The sequence below is a fragment of the Homo sapiens genome, chromosome 6 (assembly GCF_000001405.40).
Source record: "Homo sapiens chromosome 6, GRCh38.p14 Primary Assembly".
Lineage (NCBI taxonomy): Eukaryota > Metazoa > Chordata > Mammalia > Primates > Hominidae > Homo > Homo sapiens.
In genome coordinates, this window is record NC_000006.12 from 132,578,957 (window position 1) to 132,598,081 (window position 19,125).

At 39.4% G+C, this 19,125-nt stretch overlaps 1 protein-coding gene and 1 pseudogene across 2 annotated transcripts in view; both read right to left on the reverse strand.

Annotated features, from left to right (window-relative positions):
• Positions 1-9,635: 9,635 nt before the first annotated feature.
• TAAR5 (trace amine associated receptor 5) overlaps positions 9,636-19,125 on the reverse strand; it is a 28,156-nt gene continuing 18,666 nt past the window's right edge. Inside the window, exon 4 of one of the 2 annotated variants that reach the window (NM_001389527.1) lies at positions 9,636-10,777. In NM_001389527.1, the coding sequence (NP_001376456.1) occupies positions 9,717-10,730 (1,014 nt within the window). In that variant the 5' untranslated portion in view covers positions 10,731-10,777 and the 3' untranslated portion in view covers positions 9,636-9,716. Of the gene's footprint in view, positions 10,786-19,125 lie in introns of those variants that run through there. The other variant, NM_003967.3, reaches the window with a different exon arrangement.
• On the reverse strand, positions 15,433-16,483 carry TAAR4P (trace amine associated receptor 4, pseudogene; annotated as a pseudogene).

A 19,125-nucleotide genomic window follows, 5' to 3' on the forward strand; every position in this document is an offset into this window, starting at 1 on the left:
GTGACACTCCCATGTAGCTGGGGCTACAGGCGTGTGCGACCATGCCTGGCTAATTTTTAAAAAAAATTTATTTTTGTAGAAAAGGGATCTCATTTTGTTGCCCAGGTTGGTCTCAAACACGACTTCAAGCAATACTCCCATTTTGGCCTCCTGAAGTGCTGGGACTACAGATTTGAGCCACTGTGCCCAGCCTTAGATGCATTTTTAAAAGAATAAAATAGCTAGGTTGGCCTTATCTGAAGACTTGTTGAATGTGCCACTAAATCTCTTAACATCTAGTGTTCAGCAAGCCTTTTCATTCTTAGAACTCAATCAATAAAACTCAATCATAGAAAACTATTTCAAAGGACTCACTCTATGAAATAAAAAAAATCTTCCTAAAGAGTTTATGGGGGCTGGGCATGGTGGCTCACACCTGTAAAATCCCAGCATTTTGGGAGGCTAAGGCAGGTGGATCACTTGAGGCCAAGAGTTAGAGACCAGCCTGGCCAATAATAGTTAAACCCCATCTCTACTAAAAATGCAAAAAAATTAGCCTGGCATGGTGGTGCACACCTGTAATCCTAGCTACTTGGGAAGCTGAGGCACAAGAGTCGTTTAAACCCTGAAGGCTGAGGTTGCAGTGAGCTGCAATCACGCCACTGCACTCCAGCCTGGGTGACAAAGCAAGACTGTCTCAAAAAAAAAAAAAAAAAGTTTATTGGAAAATATTTGATACCTGAGATCTGAACCATTCATGAGTTTCATGTTACTATTAAACATATCTTTGCTTGCTAATCATTTTCAGAGAAACCTCTAAGCTATTTTCCAGCTTGCACTCTTTCTGAAGCCTACACATTTCAAGCAGCATGGCCCCGAGCAGTGTTGGTAAGAGGCAGACTGGGATTTGGAGCCAGCTCTGTTAACTATAAAGGTCCTACTTTCACCTACTGTGTAATCCTCCTTCAAAGCAAGATTGAGGTGACGGAAATTGTGCTGGCCAAACATTAGGTTTCTGGGTTCTAGGTCCTGTCTCTGCCAATCATAGTTTGTGGGACTTCAGACAAGTCAGTTTATCTTATTGGACCTTAATGTGAAATAATGTAACTCCAATCCATGGCCACTAAAGTTCCTTCCAGTCCTAGAATTTCTAATACAAGCACATGTGAGTAACATAGCAGGGCTTTCTCTGTGTACCCACAGTGGAGTTTGGTGTGCTAAGGCTAGCTCTCAGAAGCCGATTTTGATGATAACCCAAGTTACTTGAGAGATGGTCAAGCCAACACTGGGACTGGAATTCACAGATTTGATCATGGGGTTAGATGGAAACCATCAAAAACAACAAAAAGAGAAAAAATTACCCCAAGCACTGTGAGGGGCAGCAGTATTGGAAAATGAGCTCCAAGCAGGCAAGGAATTCACCTGAAAGCATGAATGAAAGACAGGTCTGGAATGCACCAAATGACTAGGATCAGGAGTGTCTGTAAGTGTCAGAATGTAGCAGAGAGTGGCATTGTACAGAGTTCTACCCCGAGACTTTCATACACAAACTTTCAAATGCCATGCTACATTTACCATCAAAAGACCATCAGTTAGGAAGCAGATGATCTAAGTTTGCCTGACTGAGTTGCCACATATTGCAGGAGAGTCACCTGGAGTACAAAGTGGAGCAGTTTGAAAACTTGGGGAGAGAAAGAGAGTAGTGAGGACTGTGGTGGAACTCAGTGTCAGAGGCCAGGGTAACCAGCACCATGGTAGCAGCAGAACATGAACTACCTGGGACTCACAGAAAAGAGTAGTGCTGAGACCTGGGGAGTTTTCTTTCTCCTAATGTCTTTTTCCTGAAATAAAAGAACACACAGAAATAGGGCTTGGATTGAGTTGCGGAAGCAACAGGTCAATGAAATAAATTCTCCTTTCCCAACGCTTAACTACATGAGGACTTGAGTCAAACCCATCTAAGCTACTGATTGTTCCTCAGGATGGTTGATGTTATCTAGAAAGCTGCCCTTAACACACCCAAGCACTGAAATGTCTCCCTGCTTGAAGTTGTGCTTTCTTTAGTGTCATTTAGTAGCTGTGCTGTGCTTTCAGGCTAAAGCCACATTTTTTCAAGCTAGTATTGAATTAGCATGTGTAACTGGAAGTCAAGAGAATTCAGTCAATTTTTAAGTCAGGAGCATGTGGGAATGTGTGGCTTTGATAGTATGGCACTCAAAGTAATTGATAGTGAAGATATAAGGTCTTGGATTAAATAGAAGGGAAGAACACCCTAGGGGCCTGTGGTAGGCAGCACCATCCCCTCTCCCCCAAACATGCCCATATCCTAATTCCCAGAACCTGTTACTATATTACCTTGCTTGGTCAAAGGACCTTTGTTGGTGTAATTTAATTAAAGATTTTGAGATGTGAAGATTACCCTGGATTATCAATATGGACTCTATGTAATATAAGAGTTCTTACAAGGGAAAGAGGGAGGCAAGAGGGCCAGGGTCAGATGAGATGCAGTAATGGAAACAGAGGTCAGAGTGATGCAGCCACAAGCCAAGGAACGCAGGCAGCCCCTAGAAGCCAGAAAAGATGTGGAACAGAGTCTCCTCTAGAGCCTCTGGAAGGAACACAGCCCTGCTGACATCTTAATTTTAGCCCTATAAAACCCAGTTCAGATTTCTGACCTCCAGAACTATATAATAATTTTTTGTTGTTGTTTTAAACCACTATATTTGTGGTGATTTGTTACTGCAGCAATGGGAAACTAGCACAGCACCTTTGCTACAATTCATCTTTTAGCAAGGATGGTGTTCAGGTCTGTCCCATTTCCATCCCTGCCATGATGACATACATGGAATCCTTAATTCGGTCTATCACTATGACCCTCTCCTGGAAATCAGAAAATGAATATCAGCCTCACAAATTATCACAAACCCGCAGAAAAATAAATATAGAGAAATACAATCAACAAACTGTATTTCAAAGCAGCATGCTTTGAGCGGAAGGACTAGAACATATAAAGCGTTGACAGCAGTTTTCTCTAGAAAGTGGGAGTTAGGAAAAAATTCTTTTCTTCTCTGTGCTTTTGGGCATTTCCTAAATTATGTACATATGCAATGAGTTATAATGTTTATAAACCAAAGAACTTATTTTAAAAAGAAAATAAAAAAACCATATCATCTGTATTGTCTTAAATATATTAAATTATTCAACTCTGTCAACCTTAACCATGTCCAGCAAGACTCAACCCAGCTAAGTCCTTTAAATTTTGCTCCTGGAAAAGAGGAAGAGTGGTGTTCCAGAAATCACATAGACACTTCAAGAGAGCACAGATGGTTTAAGTCTCAGCTCTTTTCCTTGCTGACTGTATGAATTTCGAACAACCATGTTAACCTACCTGAACTTAGCCCCTTTGCAGATTTTTTGAATAAGCACTCAAGTTTAGTAAAGGCGGTTTTAAGTAGCTATTAGTTTGTATACCGCTCTTTTGGTTTAACTTCAAAGTATATTTTTCTACCTTTTATACCCATTGGGAAGCGACCTATCTTTAAAACCCAGTCCAAATTCCACTTCTTTTTAAATTAAGTCTTTGTGATTGTGACAATTTATGGAACACTTACTGTGTGCCAAGTACTTCAACAATTGGTTTATTCACATGATTATCTCACCTCATTTTCACAACACAATGAAGTAGGTGTTACTGTCTTCATTTTTCAGATGAGAAACCTGAGGCTAAGGAGAGGCAACTCACCCAAGACACAGGAAATGGAAAGGGTTAAATCTGAAATTGTCCAGGCCTGTCTGACTCCTTAGCTCTTGCTCTTGAATACTGGCCCCTCTAGAAATAAGCCACAACTCCCTCCTGTGATCACTGTAGCTCTTTGTTCTACCTTTGTTGAGAACTGATTTTACACTGCTTTGTTTGTTCTTACTTATAGTTATTTCTATTCCTTTGGACTGAAAGCTTTTTGGGTGCAGTGTTGACATTTCTGGAATTTTGGATTCAATAGATTATAGCATCACATTCTGCACATAGCAGGTTTTCAATAAACATAGAGAGGCTGACAAAAATCACATTTGAAGTATTTGAAGTAATATTGCGCTTCTTCAAACCTAAGGCCTGGGAGAAGTAATTCAAGGCCATGCACTCTGGACCTCCAAACACATATGCAAGGCTTTCAGAGCCCCTGGGCTTTCTGTTCAGGACCCAGGTCCACAGTGGATGTCCAAGCCCTCTCGAGCAGGGAAGAATTGAATAGGCATGCAGGAAAATTGCCTGCCCTGTGAATTCAAACTATTCCAGGATCACTGGTATTGCCCCTCACAATACACTTAGGTGAGGTCAAGGTGTGGAAATTGAGAAAGGTCACTCTTCACACTGGCAGGTACTTTCAATGTTAGCAGGACAGAAACAGAATAGGCAGAGGCAGCATGGGACAGACACAGGGATTTTGCCTATAATTAGTCAACTTTCCAGCCCAACAAACAGACTTTCAGTGGTTTATGACAATAAACATTTATTTTTGCTTACATTCCATCAGGGCTGCAGGATGGCTACAGCTCTGCTCCAGCTGCGGGTTAATTGTGGGTCTGCTCTTCTCATCTTCTTACTCTAGGACCCAGGCTAAAGGAGCAGCTCTGACTGAGACAATCTGTTCTCAGGGCAGAATGAAGAAGTGCAAATGCTGGACTGAACCATGCAATTACATTTAAAGCTTCTGTTTGAATATAACAAGTGCCACATCAGTCTGTGTTGATTGATTGAGGCAAGTCACATAACCAAGCCCAAAATCAGTGGGTCTGAGACATTTGCTCCTTCCAAGAAAGTAAACAGTGAGGGAAACTACAGTGGGAAAAGAGCATAGAATAGAGGTGGAAAGTGTAGAAAACAAACCTCTTAGTGGCAACATACGATAGGTGCCCAGGGCCAGCTCTGAGGATGGTGAATCCCTTCTCTTTGGTGGTCAGAGGTTTCCTCTACATTTCCAACTTCACAGCCATCAGAGTTCCAGAGACAAGATATGCAACCTGTAAAGCTCTGCATAGGAGAAGGGGCCTCATTCTCTCTCTCACTTTGTAGGCTGCTGTTAATGTGACCTCTTGATTCTCGATGCTCTCTACCGAACTAACTTTATAAAACAGAGTGAATCAGAAGCGATACAGAGGGGAACTTGCTAGGGAAATTGCCTTCCTCAGAACCTTTGTCCATCTATATGGCATATAGGTCATATATTTCTATGCATACACACAACATATACTCATACACATACACAGCTATTTCTACTCATACACACATACACTCAAGTGTATTACATACTTACACACGCTGCCAGCTGGGATGAGTTATAATGTGGTTTGACTAAGTTGTAGGAAAACAATATAATTAAGTTGAGAGGTCTTTGTAGAAAAATATAATGATCAGGTTTATATAAAACAAGAAAGACCTATCATGAAATTTACAACCATGCTGATACATTTAATGAAGCAGGAATTTTTTTTTAAATACCAAAAAATTCTAAGCAAGCACAAAAGCACCAAGAAATGATTGTGCTTGTCAAGTAATCTTCCAGTGGAATGCTCTTGATAAAGATGATTTTTTATGAGGCTTCAGCCTTTCAGCAGTTAATGGTGAAGTGTGACTGTCACTGCCTTCTGTTCACATAGGATCACAAAGCTTTCATGCTCAGAAGAATGCCCCAGTGTTCACATTTAAAGGAAATTCTTAAATCGGGAGGTCCCTAAACTTACATAGGAAAAAATTTTATCTTTATATTTACTAACCTCCATCTGAAATTTTATCACTTCCTTCCATTTTAAATATAGGTAAAACCACAGTGGTATTAGCACTACCTCTCATGTTTGTCACCAATAGAAATTAATAGTTTCATATCTCAATATAGTTGTTGCAGATATTATAAAATTTCATTTATGCTCATCACGACTCTGAAATTACAGTAGTTTTATTGTACCTGTCAGCAGATCTTGTTATCTGATGCTTTCAAAAAGAAGCACATGTATGATTATATTACAAATTTGACTATTTCTAAGATAGTTATATAATTATATTTTAACAATTGTTTTTCTTTATAATTCCATGTTTTTTTAAAAAAACTTTATTCCCTCAAAAGTTTTCATCATGAGTAGGGGTCTGTGGTCTTTACTAGAGTGTCAAAAACGTCCATGGCACAAAAAATCGATAACACTTGCCTTACATGTGGTTAACTCTCACTCAACTAGGGAGAGCGAGTAAGGGTTATTATCACCACAGACATTCTACTAAGATCTCAAGAGAATGTCATTGAGTATATGCTTTCATTTGTCCAAGGGCCTAACCCAATTTTCTGGGGGCAACAGATTTGCTTCTTACATTCTGTTCTCCTAACGAAGAGGATGAAAGAGCTGGGCTTCAAATCCTGGGGTCGGGTGCCTCCCCTCTCCAACCATCAGCTCATGCTTCCGTTTGTGGTGTCCACTGAAGGTGCGATTCTTTTTCTCATTCTCCCCTGGTTCTTTGGTGATGCAAACATTGTATCATGACACACATGTCCTTGTGTTTCTGTGATTCACTGGAAACTGGAGTCTCCTATCTGGTTTTCAGTGTTAGTCCTATTCACAGATTTATTAGCTGTCCAGATTTCCCTAATATTTCAGAGAAATAGTAGATAGGTTAACAGCTTTCAAGTAAGAAGATAGATTAAGAATTTTCAAGTAAGGATGCCAAGGTAAATTACCAGATCTTTGCGTGCCTCATCTGTGTGCCCTGTAAGGGTAATAATATCCACCTCACAGGTTTATAGGCATTAAGTGAGATGCAGAACATCATAGGTTCTCAGTAACTGTTAGCTCCTTCCCTTCTCTTCATTGAGGGCCTATCTGGCTAAGGCAGCCTTCTCCACCTAACAGGAAACAATAATATGTGCAAGAAGCAGAATCATTTCTTGCTTCTGTTGAAGTGACTAGTTCAGAGCTCCACCTTGTGAAGCAGCCGGATCTTTTACTTCCAAGATGGAGACTGCTATGCTCAGTTGATTGGGAATGGGGTGGCTTATTTCTAGAAAGGCAAGAGAAAAATATGCTTTTTAAAGTAATGACTCACTTATAGGTTGCAAATTATATTTATTGTTATACAAAAGGCATAGTATTTCTAGCTTCTTAATAACTCAAAACTATATATACTAGGATAAGTTTTAGTTTATAATTCATCTGTAATTTAATTATTTAATAATGCCTAAGAGTTAACAAAAAATAAACTATAATTAATTCCAAAGAAAAATGAAGCACTAAAGAATACGTGGAAAAATATTTTTACAACAATTATTTTTAAATAAGGAGGAAAGTTTGGGGTTAATAGCACTTCTCTCTCTCTCCATATATCTATATATAAATAAACAGAATAAACCCATTTTAGCTAACTTCATTGACAAAATAAGATATTTACTCCTTCAATTATTATTATTATTATTACCATTATTATTATTATTATCACTTTGAGACAGAGTTTCACTCTTTTTGCCCAGGCTGGAGTGCAATGGCACAATCTTGGCTCACCACAACCTCTGCCTCCCGGGTTCAAGCGGTTCTCCTGCCTCAGCCTCCCGAGTAGCTGGGATTACAAGCATGTGCCACCACGCCCAGCAAATTTTGTATTTTTAGTAGAGACAGGGTTTCTCCATGTTGATCAGGCTGGTCTTGAACTCCTGACCTCAGGTGATCCGTCCGCCTTGGCCTCCCAAAGTGCTGGGATTAAAGGCGTGAGCCACCGCGCCCGGCCACTCCTTTAGTGATTATTATTGACATGTGAATGATTGTTTTAAGTATTTGTTTAACGTCTACTTATCTGACTATTGGCATATGAATTGCTCTTGAAACACATTCCCTCCTTCATTGTCTAAGTTTACCTATTGAGATTGATACACCTGTATCTGCATCTATAGCTACAGCTATCTGTGCACCTGTAGTGGAGAGGCTTTGAGGCTTTGAACTAATTTATAAAGAAGTTTTTCAAGTAAGCAATTATTAATTTGAAAAAATCTCAGTAATAAATATAAAGGAATGGTGATTAGAGGCTTTAGGAAAATATTCAGGAGAAGACAGGCAGGCTGTACATAAAGGTGCTAGTGCCCTTACTAGTAATTGCTGCTGAGAAACATTTGGTTCAATTCCGAGCAAGCACGTGGCATGGGGACTTGTTTTTATAAAAAGCAAAAACAAAAACAAAAACATGTACTGGTGTTCCTGGAAAGATAGCCGGTCTAACTTGTGTGAGAAAAATTTAAAGAAAGAAATAATAAAACGGAAAGATGTGGATAATTATCACTTAACAAAATATTCCAACTATGTTCAGGTTTAAATTATTCAAAAAGATAAGAAAAAACATTCCTTCAAGAATATGATGCTTTTACTCAGTGATTATCACAATGGACAAACCTGGATGACAAATCTGCTTAGTGCTTGGGTTTTTAGGAGACGAGGTTTCTAAAATGAACATTTTGAGGAAGAGACATTCTAAACAATTGATTATGATTATGAAATATGAAGCGAAATTATGATTCAAACTAGGTTTCCTGAAGTTAGATTATGCCATATTTCACTTAAGAACACAGTAGAAAGGAAATATTACAAACACCTTATTTTAGATGAGGAAACTCCCATCTGTGGTGGGAGGAGGGAGGATTCAAAGATTGCTGAAATCTCTCTTGGCTGCTCTGTGTGGCAGAACCAGTGTGAGAACTCAGAAAGCCAGACCTCAGGGCTCTGTTCCTTCCGTTGTTGCATCCTAGTTGTTTCAAGGAAGCAATGAATGAGGAACCAAATATGTGCACAGTGTTCTGGCTTATCCAGTGGATATTAAGATGATTTCTTGCTCTCCTTTTCCTCCAATGTACTATAAAAAATAACACTTTTACACTGTTGGTGGGACTGTAAACTAGTTCAACCATTGTGGAAGTCAGTGTGGCGATTCCTCAGGGATCTAGAACTAGAAATACCATTTGACTCAGCCATCCCATTACTGGGTATATACCCAAAGGAATATAAATCATGCTGCTACAAAGACACATGCACACGTATGTTTATTGCAGCACTATTCACAAGAGCAAAGACTTGGAACCAACCCAAATGTCCAACAATGACAGACTGGATTAAGAAAATGTGGCACATATACACCATGGAATACTATGCAGCCATAAAAAAGGATGAGATCATGTCCTTTGTAGGGACATGGATGAAGCTGGAAACCATCATTCTCAGCAAACTATCGCAAGGACAAAAAACGAAACACCGCATGTTCTTACTCATAGGTGGGAATTGAACAATGAGAACACTTGGACACAGGAAGGGGAACATCACACACCGCGGCCTGTTGTGGGGTGGGGGGAGGGGGGAGGGATAGCATTAGGAGATATACCTAATGTAAATGACGTTAATGGGTGCAGTGCACCAACATGGCACATGCATACGTATGTAACAAACCTGCACGTTGTGCACATGTACCCTAGAACTTAAAGTATAATAAATATATATATACGTATATATATATATACGTGTATATACATACATATATATAAAACATTGAATGTGGGGAGTGCTTTATCCCTTTCCAAGTTAAGGAGCTTGTCTTTCTCTTCTACTTAACCCATGCTGTCCTGGAAGCATGCCCACAAACTCAACACCACACAGCCCACGGTCACAGTGCCACTTATCTTTCCTGTGAGGTCCTACTCCTTGCCTGCATTTAGTAGAAGGAATCATTCTTGGTACAAATCAACAGTGCGTGTCTGCGGTGAGAAGACCTTCTGGCTCAGTGTGAGTTTCAGTGCCTTCCGAAACCACTGGTAGGAAAAGACATAGATGATGGGGTTGCAGGCTGAGTTGAAGTAAGCAAACCAGATAAAGATGTCAAAGACCAGTGGGGGTGTGATAAAGTGAAGGAGGCTGTCGACCATCGTGTCTATGGTGAAGGGCAGCCAGCACAAGAGGTATATGCCCACAGCAATGCCCAGGGTCTTGGCAGCTTTTCTCTCATGCTTGGCAGCCCCAGCCAGGCTTTTGCTCAATGTGGTAATCTGCTGAGCCTGTCTGGTAGCAACCACAAAGATCTTCACATACAAGCTGATCATAATGAGGCAGGGGACAAAGAACAAAGGGAAGTTTAACCAGCCCCAAAATTTATTGAGCAGCAGCTGGCAACTGCCCACACAAGGCATCTCTTCCAGCCACTGGCTGAGCCTTGTCTCTACCACATCTGTGTAGAGGAATAACGAAGTGTATGCTGCGGGCACCCCCCATCCTGCCAGGATGTACCTGAGAGCCACCCTCACTGTGAACTTGGAGGGATAGAGCAGGGGGTCACAGATGGCACAGTGGCGGTCAATGGAAATGAAACAGAGATGGAAGATGGAGGTGAGGCAGAAGAGGGTGTCCAGGTAGGTGTGCAGGCGGCAGAGGAAGTCCCCGAAGAACCAGCAGCTCTCCACTGAGCGAATGGTGCTGAGGGGCAGCACCAGCAGACCCAGAAACATGTCAGCCAGGGCCAGGGAGAGCAGCAGGAAGTTGGTGGGCGTGTGAAGCGCTTTGAAGTAGGACACAGCAAATGCCACAAATACATTCCCTAGCACGATAATCAGCATGCCTGCTGCACAGGCCAGGTAGATGACCAACTGGATGCCCAGAGTATGTACTGTCCTGGGGCAAGACCCATTCACCTGGTAGCAGAATGCCGCAGGGTGCTCTTCAGCACCTTGGATGAAGACAGCTCTCATTTATGATTTCTACTCTTCCTCTGTCTGAGAACTGGCCACCTTCTCCACTGGAGGGCAAAAAAAAAAAAAAAAAAAAAAAAAAAAAAAAAATATGTCTGCTAAATAATCACAGAGTGAAACGAAGAGGAAGAAACTAAAGTACAGTTTGGAACATAGTACAGTGCCCCTGGGTACTGAATCAAATGTGCCCTGAAAATCAAATGCAGCATAGTATTCAAGGTTTCATGAGAGTTACTTCTGCTAGCTCTAGTTTATATGACTAGGCACTTTAAAACTAGTGTAGGTAGTATTCTTAAAGAAAGAAAAGAAGGATGTAAGCTGAATGTTTCCTCAAAGAAAGCTTGATTATATCCATAGGTAGTATTAAATAATAGAGAATGTCTCTTACGTTTTGATAAGGTATTTTTTGTCAAATGTAAAGTGAAATTTAAAGCAAAGATCTGAACCAAGTGACCAATTAATTCTTGTTAATAAATTATTCCTTGGAAAAAGTGTAACTTCTAGCTTCTCTCTTTAAGAATTACATACATTGACAATAAAGTTAGCAGATTAAGATTTTTAGCTACATGCCAACTCTTCCCAAGAGAAGAATTCAGCATGCAAATATTAATAATTAAAAGAGTAGAAAATTGCTCTATTTTAGCTTTAAATGCTGCACATTTTATGATGATAACACAAAGTGTTTACACATCTTGGTATAACTATTTGATAGGCAAAATGATTTTATCTATTTAACATCTTAATGTAAGTCTGTGAATTATTAACCAAGTCCTAATATATTGAATTCAGAGTTTCTAAGTTACTTACACAGGTAGGAATCAGAATCCCTTCCTGGGAAAAAATGTTTCTTGGAGCAGGTGGACACAGGGAATGTCAGAGTACTCTTCTGTTGGCCACAATGACAGGTGTGCAATTAGTTAACGATTTTATACTCTCAATAGAAACTACTCCTCCATGTGCTATGATACAAATAAGCTGTGAAGAGGCACCATGGGACCTAGTTTGCACTATTTGCAAGTCTCAGTTGTTTAAGGTTCCTCCTCAATACAGAATCACTTACCCTGACAATTAATTAGAGATAAAATTTAAAGACGGTGGATGTATATATTCTTTTTTAATTTTTCAGTTCTGGGATGTTTTGAAGGTATTCTTGCCTGCTAATGGCTGCTATATATTTTCTAATTTCATTTTTAGTGAGTTTCTTATTTTTCTTCTGCTTTAGTATTATTTGTGTATATTTCTCTCAACATGAGAAATAGTTGAGAATAATTGATCATGGGTTTTTTGGTTCATGAAGGGGTGGTTTGTGACTTCCACACAGGATTCATCATTATGTGTTTTTTGAGCACTATATTTTGTGATGGTGAAAGAAAGCATGGTAGATGAAGCAGTTCACCTGGAGGAAGAATAGTTAAATTCCTGTTTCATCCTTTCTTATGCCATACCTAACCTCTCTCTCTGCTTCCCCATTGGTAAGAGTAGGTACAATTATACCTGTGTAACTTGATTTCACAGGGATATTATCAAGGTAAATAACATGTTGAATCGTATTCTGCTCTCTGCCTCTTGATATCTTAGAAGCTGGTATGCCTCTTTATGGTTACAGAGAAACCATTTCACAGTATCAGTCAAACTAAAGTTGTAAAAATGACAGAATTCTAGAGGTGACACCAAATTACATCTGCCAGAGGGGCCTGGAAGAGGAGGTGGGGCAGGTCAAAAAGAAGGAAGGAGGTTGGTATGCACCTCTCCTTTCTCTACAAATCCATGGCTAAACCCAGTGTTTCCCAAGGCAAAGCTCCCTATAGCCTGGCTACCGCTGGAATCTTGCCTTATGCCAGCTTCATATGTGTGGAAATACATATCTGGCTCCAGAACTTAATCAGACACAAGGAAGGATATTGCATTACTAGGTACCTTGAAACCCCTTTAGCTTAAAAGTCATAATCCACATATAATTGGCCAAGGAGTCCTATGGCTTTATATTTAATTTGACCAAGAACTTGTGAAAAATACAAACAAATGTCCTGTAGCTGGAATAAGGCTGAAGAAGAAACAGGGAAAGGTTTTCTGTTCTGGGATAGATTACATCAGACCTACTAAAATGTAATATGTAACACAATTGTATGATCTCTATGTCTCAGATTACTTAACACCACTGTGTCCAGTTTTCTCATCTATTAATTGAATATAATACATGATCTGTGTCACAATCTTGTGAATATTAATGAGTTAAAATTCATAAAGTGCAGTCTCTGGCATGTAGAAAGTTGAGTTGGGCAGACAAGAGTTCGAGTGGATATCTAGTGCAGATAACTGTTAACCTTCCCAAGTTAGGGCTCTTATCCCTTCTTCCACTGACTTTTAGAAATACATTCCATTACATAACAATCACAGGCAAAAGTAATTGGATTCTGGATCTACTAAGGTTTCCTGCTTACCTTAGGGATTCATTAATGTTGCAGCAAGCTGCTAAAGGTCTTGAATAAAAGAACATTTTTATTTCTTTTAAATCTCCCCGCTGCATCATGTGTAGCCTCCTCTGCACTTTACTTACTAGAAACCAAATTTGTTTTCAAATTACCGCCAACTTTAACAAAATCGATTATAATGAGGCTGTGCTAATTATGATAACCTGAAATTATGAAGCCAGATGGAAGTGTTCTTAGTACAAGCTCAAACTGGCAGACTTCACTCAGGTTCAGAGATTCTCTTTCTATAGCCTGTTGTCTATGGACGGTCTTTGCCTGCCTTTGAGAGCACATAGGACAGAATAATTCTTGATTCCTCAAAATCTGTCTGATATGATTTGGGTCTGTGTCCCCGTGTAAATCTCATGTCAAATTGTAATCCTCAGTGTTGGAGGTGGGGCCTGGTGGGAGGTGCTTGGATCATGGGGGTAGATTTCCCCTTTGGTGCTGTTCTTTTGATAGTGAATGAGTTATCATGAGATCTAGTTGTTTACAAGTGTGTAGCACCTCCCTTCTGCCTCTTCCTCCTGCTTCAGCCATGTAAGATGTGCCTGCTTTCCCTTTGCCTTCTGCCATAATTGTAAATTCCCTGAGGCCTCCCCAGCCATTCTTCCTGTACAGCCTGCAGAACCATAAGCCAGTTAACTTCTTATTTATAAGTTCTTATTTATAAGTTACACTTGGCCTAGCTCTACTCTGCACCCGGCTCTTCTTCCTCTCTGCTGACATTGCTAAGCAACAGTGGTCCCAGATCTACCACTGAATTCCTGGGTAAGGACCACAGAACAGTAGCTACCCAGGGGCAACAGCTTACCACAGACTTTGCCATATGCCCTGTCTTTGCAATTTCACTTCAGTGGGTGAAAGTACTTGCTCAAACTTGCTTCCTCATGCCGATCTTCAGGAAGTTGGCTTAGTGACCCCTTCTCTGATGCTCTAACTCCACTTCCCCAGCTTTCCCTTGACTCTAATAGAGGCTCTGGTTCCCTTACAAAACCTGATGCTACAGTCTTTGGTCAAAAATGCAGGCAGTCTCTCCACAACCCCATGTCAGGCTAAATTTTCCTCTGCCATGCTCTCATGGCCTCTTGTGCCTGGCTCTGTCACAACACATATTACCCTGTAGTGTAACTGAGTGGCTATGGTCCCTCCTATGAAGTCAAAATTCCCTTGAGGCCAGGGTTTGAGTTTTATTTATCTCTGAACCACAATCAGAGCAACACTTGGCACATAGTAGGTGCTCAATAAATGTTCGTTGAACCGAGTGACTTTTAATACAGACAGCAAGTATCATGGAAATTACCATTCCCCCTGAGATAATGGTTACTCTGCTCAGCTTAGATGAGTCCTGGGAAGAGGAGATTTGGTTTAGGAATGAAAATGGCTGCTTCACTCTCCTTGGCCTAGCCTAGGAAGAGCATTTGGAGCTGTTTTGAAAAACTATTGAGCTAATGTTTGTGGACACCCTTGTAAAGTTCAGTCTGGGAGGATAATGAATATATGTACACACATGAAAGACATGGACGCATCCCCACTATGTGTACACACAGGCTGCATACATACATGGATCTAAAGTGTATATTGGGAGAAAGAAAGCATATTTTCCCAAACTCTTTATTCATTTTTCTCATTTAGTAAGACAGTCCAATTTTATCAAATATTGCAAATCTCACATCAGTTCTTTCTGAAAAGGGGTTTCAGCCAAAATCATTACAATTGGAAGTAACTACAACTGTCTGTGTCTTTCTCCCTTTCCGCATCACTAGCATGCTCCATAACTCAGACTTCCTGTATGCCCAGGCTCTCTCCCACTTCCCTAACAAGCAACAACAATCTCAAGAAAGATTTAGATAAACTCAGATATACATGGCTGTCAATGATTGTGGAAACCAACTTTGCTTTTGCATCTGATGTTTTCAAGTTAAAGTAAGAAAATCTCTATATGATTTAAGCCAAAAGACTAAAATTCTAGATCCCTAATTTGGAATCTCAGGAGTCAGTAAGACTTGGGAGAGATTCTTTTTATTGGAGTTGTCTTTCCCCAAAGCCCAGAAATGGACCGCTTTGGTAGCTTTAGTATACCTGGAAGGCTCATCTATAACTCCTACCTAGATGTTCACTACGCCAACTGGAAGGATCTCCTTATCTGGTCAATTCATGCCCCTACTTGTGTGGAGAAAGGGCATCCAAGATTCCCCACCAGAAAAGAGTCCTATTGAATGATGAACACAGCCTAAGCATGGGCAGAAAACAGGCTTAGGGTGGAAGAGTCAGGGTGGAAGATCATGCCTGTGACAATCATCCTCAATGCCTTGCGAAACCAAGGATAAAGCATGCCATATAAAATGGGATTGAAAGCAGAGTTGAAATAGCCTAGCCAGAGGAAGACATTGTACAGATCTTCAAGGGTTGTAAAATTAATGAAAGGATCTGTGATCGTCAAGACAAAGAAGGGCAGCCAGCACAACACAAACACTCCCATGACTATGCCTAAGGTCCTGGTGGCCTTGCTTTCTGTTTTAGAGGATGCCTTTTTTTTTGCTTTCTGACCCAGCCTGTTTAGTCCTAGAACCTGTGCCAATTTGCATGGCATGCTTCCTGGCTACTGTAAAAATATGTATGTAAATTCCCACCGTGGTTGTCCCTGGGAGAAAGAAAGCTATAAAGGAGGCCAGTACCCCCCCAGAGCTTATTAAATATTAACACACACAAACCTGTGCAATCAATGGCTGCAACAAACTCTTCTGCACCAATTATGTTTAGTTTTGAGAATACCAGGCCAAAGGCAAAAAGGATGGGAATGGACCAACTGATGAGTAGAAAGAGTTCTATGACAGGGATGGTAATTCTGGTGACATATTGCAATGGGTCTCAAACAGCATCGTAACGGTCAACTGAGATGAAGCAGAGGTGAAAAATGGAGGTGGTGCAGAGTATGATGTCACAGCAGCTGTGGACTTTGCAAAAGAGGTCTCCAAAATACCAGCAGGACTCGATGGATGTGATCACACTGAAGGGCATGACCACACAGCTCAGCAAAAAGTCAGTGATGGCCATGGAGAGGATCAAGAAGTTGGTCGGGGAGTGGAGCTGCTTGAAGTGAGCGATGGAAATCATTACGATCATGTTGCCCAGCATTGTCATCACTATAGACCCGATCATGACCAGGTACATGGCCCAGACACTCAGCACCGGCCTCACATTTCTAGGGCATGAATTGTTAACTGAACTAAAGCAAAATTGTACTGTTGGGGGGTTCTGAGGGTCAGGCAAATTCATCATCTTTGTCTCATGGGTACTATGAATCTTGTTCAAAAGTGCTGTGTTCCTCTCAGTTCTGTGTGAGAAAGACACAGTACAACAATACAAATCACCAGCAGCACAGCTTTTTTCAGAGGCCAAACTAAGCCTGCATGTACAATCCAAATATGAATTCCCTACTGACCAGGAGCACTGCTTCCTAAAGCTTTGCATGCATACAAGTCACCTAGGGATCTTTTTAAAACACAGATTCTGATTCTAGGGGAGGGCTGAGAGTCTGCATGCAGGTGAACGCATGTTCCAGTTGCCCTAATATTAACCTTACACAGGATTCCGAATCCGTAGGCAGATTGAGTTTTTCCTGTCTCGCTTATATTGGACAGTTTTTAAACAATAAAATCTCCTCAAGGATTATGAAGAACTGTGGAACTATTATTTAATGTTTAGCTTAAACAATAATTATGATCTGAATATTATGCTGATGCTTCCTTTTTAACTTTATGTGTGAGCATTTGCCAATGCTTTCCATCCTGCCACTTATGACATACTATTCGATTAAGGAAACATTTATCTCTCCAGTATGGAGAACAACATAGTTTTTAGAGTTTTGAGCTATATTATGGCAAATTAAAAATATACTGAGGATCACAAAGTTATAGGTGAATAATCAAAAATATAAAGGAAAAACCCACAAATAACAGATTCTATAAATCTGTGGCTTATCTCCTTTCATTTAGCAGCTGTATTCATGAATTCAAGCTCAAGTTGAGGTCCTTTCCCCCTGTTTTCGTCTTATATTCGTAACAAATGTGATACGTGTGAGTGCTCATTGTTTAATCTATCATTTTGTATAATTAATGCCATTGCCCTTGTAATGTGAAAATAATGGGACTGACTTATCCAGAGTATGACATGTTTTGATTTGTTTTTTCCAGTGCCGGAGCTGGATGTGTAATTCTGGTGACGAATGCGATCTAAGGCCAATTGAAATGGACTTTGGCCTGAGAATAGGCTAAAACTGAATGGTCCTTTGGGAAAATGAACCCACAAGCACATCCTCACCAGATTTAATTGAAAAAGACATTAATAAAAATACAAGCACCTTTAAAAATACTATTTTCACTATTTGCTACAATAGCTTAGCAATGATCTCCAATACTGTATATTATTTTAAATGTTAACATTATGACATGTTTTATTTGCTCTGGATATAGTAACTTGATTTCTTAAAATTTTTTAGGGTTTTTTTTAAATACCAATCAAATATTAAACAATTAAGTTGTACTTGAAACACCAAGCCATAGGGAAATAAAATGTAAGAAGAACAAAGATGTGTTCAGCTCCTTTATAAAGTGCAGACTAGCAATCAGAATACACAGAATAAATTGTTTACTAGTCAGTTTGGTTCCAAAGTTCTAAAAGGCTGCAAATAATCAAATCTTAATATCTAATATTTTATTTAATAAGTTAAATTTAGCCTGCTCTTTATCTCCCCTGCATTTGTAATTTAAAAACCTTTCCTCAATTCTTTTTAAATTCTTTTAAAAATCAATCTTTAAGAAAGCTAACAATTACAAAGTCATTTCAGCATTTGCCACTATATATTCATAAATAAAGCATTCCCCATACAAAATTTTACATTTCATTATACAGTTTTAGAGTTTTAACTTCCAAGTTTGAAAATCTAATCACTGAAAGAATATAATTTAACCTCCTCAGTTTGTAAAGTGAATTTATTTATTTATTTATTTATTTGAAAAACATGGCATGAAACAACTTATAGAAATTAACAGTATTCTCTCATATATTACAGTTACATATAATAAGGAAATGGTTAAACATTTAAGTGTTAGTTTAAGACAAGAAGATAGAGTAAGACACCCACATATATGTTTAAAATTATTACATGGGTGAATTGTTAAGGTAATGTCAAAGATAAGAATAATTTCAAACTCCTATCTTAAGCTCTTGGTGAAAAGTTATGAAAACAAGTAACCACATGAAAATATGACTGCTGGCTTGCTTGTTTGCTAAAGGGAACTGAGTATAAAATTAAATCAAGTTGGAGTTTTGTTTATTATTTAAAACTTAACAGAATAAAGATTCCTTTTATTTGGAGATTCGCCTTCAGAAAAGATAGATACAGCATTTTTTTAAAAACAAAATAAAATAAAGTTAAGCCCTTTATGGCATCTCACTTTTTTCATGGGATATTATTGTGCCTTTTTCTCTTTTTTACCAATAACATTTCCCCCAAGCATCAGCAACAAAGGGCTAAATTAATTACAGCATTGCAAACAACCACCCATGGAAATTATTAGTTATTTCTTCTAGGAGGCAGAAAGAAACATCCGTTGACAATTCTGGAGATAAGAGCAAGAACTGCATAGCTTTTTCGTTCAAATGTAGTTCTTTAAGGGAGAAGACGATAGACTAATGAAACATAAACAAGAACTCTGAAATAATAATTTTGAAAATGTAAACAATTATTGGAATTTCAAGGAAAAGGGGATTTATGCAATACTTTTTTTCTCCAGTACTAGAACCCTGAAATATGTTAGTGTACACATATTTCCATCAAATAAGAAGAGGGAAATATAGCTCAACTAGTTCAGCAATGCATTGTAAATAAATGGAAAAAATTAGGGGAGGACGTATCATAC